This window comes from Homo sapiens, chromosome 12 (genome assembly GCF_000001405.40).
Source record: "Homo sapiens chromosome 12, GRCh38.p14 Primary Assembly".
Taxonomy (NCBI): Eukaryota; Metazoa; Chordata; class Mammalia; order Primates; family Hominidae; genus Homo; species Homo sapiens.
This window is the reverse complement of record NC_000012.12, coordinates 96985016-96987943: the sequence shown is the minus strand read 5'-3', so window position 1 is coordinate 96987943 and position 2928 is coordinate 96985016. Positions and strand designations below refer to the sequence as shown.

Genomic DNA, 2928 nt, shown 5'->3' with positions numbered 1-2928 from the left:
TTTGCCTGAACCCTTCGTGCTTTCTCTTCTTAGATTTTAGCTTTACACAATTCAATTTCACACTAAACACAGCAGAGATGGCTGAGACAAAGGAGGGAGACAGTGAGTTGTTTAACGTACATTCTGGAAGAAAATAATGCCATTCTTTTCTGAGCAAATTCATATCAACTTTCCCACCTCTATAAATGAACAAAATCATTTTTGAATAAATAGTCACCATAAATTTAAATGTTGCAAAAATAAATCCCCCAGATGTTTTGTGTAGCTTCAAGAGTAAAAAGCTGCCAAGGCATTTACTCTGAACATAATATTGTACTCTACAAGAATACACTGAGCACCAAACACAAAATATTATTATACAGAAGATACAGCACATTTCACACTTTTTAAGGAGACCTAAGGCCTTGAGTGCAACCTCTTGGGAATATAAAGTCAGGCAAATAAACTTTTAAATACATTAAAAAAATAATGGGTGCTGTTTGCTGGACTCTGGAGTTAAAACTGAGGAGAATTAGAGATTTTTAAGTCAGGGGCAAATAAACAACATTTGGTTTAATTTTTCATTTTTTTAAATAAAATATTATAAATGTTACATAGTTGTTTGCAAATAATAGATTTCCATAACATCTAAATAAATATTAAATATATTAAATAAAAGTATTTCCAGTTTGGAAACCAGGAATCACAATTATAGACTATAGAGACCCCTTACTCAACAGCTTGGGTAAAACTGTAGAAACTCAAAAAAAAAAAAAAAAAAGAAAAAAAAAAACCAACAAATTTTTTTTGAGACAGCTGTGCCCTCTGGAGGTGGCACTTGGGAATTGAGTAAATCTCCCTAAACCAACAACAATGACTTTCCTAAAGAATTGAACACGCACTTGGAAATGCAAAGAAGGCTTAGAAGGTTTCATTCATGATCCTTTCTTTGTGTCAAACCAGTTTTCAATGAATACTAATTTAGAATTTCAATTTAAAAGTGTTCAAATGGGCACAAAACATTTTGGTAGACGGGATTAAAAGCTTGTGTTCAATATCTGGAATACAATGATTAGGAACATGCTGAATATTATGAAAAGAAAGAACAGTGGTTCCAAATCAAATATCCTCAAAACTGCTTTCGGTGAAATGCGTGGAGCTATGGCCTAGCCTCTTCCCATCCCACTTCCCCCAACTCTCAGAGGCAACTGATTTTTTTTGTCCTATCTTTTTAGAATAATTCACCACCTCTGCTTTTTCTATCTGTTTTTTTATACCTGATTCCTAATAAATGGAGCTATATTTCACCATCTAGGGAATATATTATTCCAATGGGAAGAGTAAAAGATAAATATTTCTTGATGGAATTTTAGAGAGAGAAATTAATAAAGTTGGCTTTGTGTGCTCAGAATTTCAATAGGCCAAATAAAAGATAAATAATAGAAATAATTATGCGGGTGGGGGGAGCGAAAAACCTTCCCCAAAGTAGATTTTACTTGATGTTAAAAGCAGAACAAAGCCGCCACTTTTAAAGAAAGAAGGGATCTTCTTGATTGTAAATTTTGCCTTGGATGTGGGCGAATGTTGTGTTTTTAAAGAAATTAGAAGAATTAAGTAAGGGTGCCACACCGGTGGAGAGTCTAATTACTTCGGCATGAAGGAGAATAACCCAAATATCAGTGGGATGCGATTATCTTAAGCAAACAGGTTCCCGGAAGCGCGGGGAGTGCACGGCCTGCGCTGCCAGGCGGGACTGGAACAAAGAAGGTTCGGAACGAAGGAGCGAAGGTTCCGGCTTCCCAGTCATTTGGGCCGCGCTTGCGTCGCAGGCTCTGGCTGATGTCCCAAAGGCAACTTCACGCCCCAAGGCCCCTTCCTCCCTCTTCCCCAAAGGCAAGCGGTGGACCTAGAGTTCCTAGAAAGAGCCTCGCCCTTGCTGGCTTCCCGCTACCTCTGGTTCCAATCCGGGGGGCAATTCTTAACTCAAGTTCTCCTGCTCCTTCTCCCCTAAGTGCGCCGCCGACCCCTGGCTCCTTAAAGAGGCCAAGAGGTCTCCCGAGGAACAAGAGGTCTCAAGGATGACTGCCCTGAAACCCACAGGTGATATCCAGGTCGCACTGAAGTGCCCGCTCAGCACTTCCAAATATGAAAGCAAACATTTAAAGACAGGCAGCTAGTTTGGGGCCGACGTGGTTAGCCCTCGCCCCTCTCCCCCTCCTTGTCCCCCAGGGCCGCGCACCTGCCCCGCACCCCAGCGCGGGTCCGCTCACCTGCGCGTCTGCTCGCGGGGCCGCTGCGCCTCCAACCGAGCGCCGACAGAGGGCGCCCGCGGCGAGCCTCGCCGCCCGCAGCCCGCGCTGCTGTGGGCTTAGGTTCCAGGTGGGGTGCCCGGTAGAGCCAGGGAGATGGCAGTGTGGTCTGATGGGGGAGAGAATCTGGGTTTTGGCTATCGAGGATGAATTATTTAACTGGTCTGAAGCCTCAGGTTCCTCATCAAAGGAAATGGTCATAACACTAATATCTAAGCCACAGTTATCAGTTATGATCGTATATTCATTCATTCATTCATTGGCAAGAAATACACTTTGAGGTCTTCACCGTGTCCCAAGCATAGTGGAGACACAAGGGGTCCCTTAGCAATCAAATTAGACCCAGCTTCTGCCCTTTTGGAAAGTACATTTGAATGGGATTCACCTGGGGTAGCATAAACAGGGCTTGGCATGTGGGTCCTCTTAGCCCACCTCCTAGGACACGCTCAGCCCTCGGAAAATGTTGGTGCTTATTAATTATTATGACGTGCTAGTGTCGACATCAAGTGCTTCCTCCTTCTGCAATACAGGGGTTTAGTTCATTCCTGGTCCCCTAGAGCTGAGCACAGCCTGCTTTACGTTAATAGCTCAATGAGAGTTTGATGAATGAATGATGTGGTTGAATAAGCGCGTACCTTGA

The 2928-nt window shown here is 43.0% G+C and overlaps 1 annotated feature.

Annotated features, from left to right (window-relative positions):
• Positions 2175-2394: a silencer, noted in NCBI's record as "silent region_4748". NCBI's record gives its function as "represses an Ori minimal core promoter by ATAC-STARR-seq in GM12878 lymphoblastoid cells {active_cell/tissue: GM12878}" and the evidence as "EXISTENCE:reporter gene assay evidence [ECO:0000049][PMID:35858748]".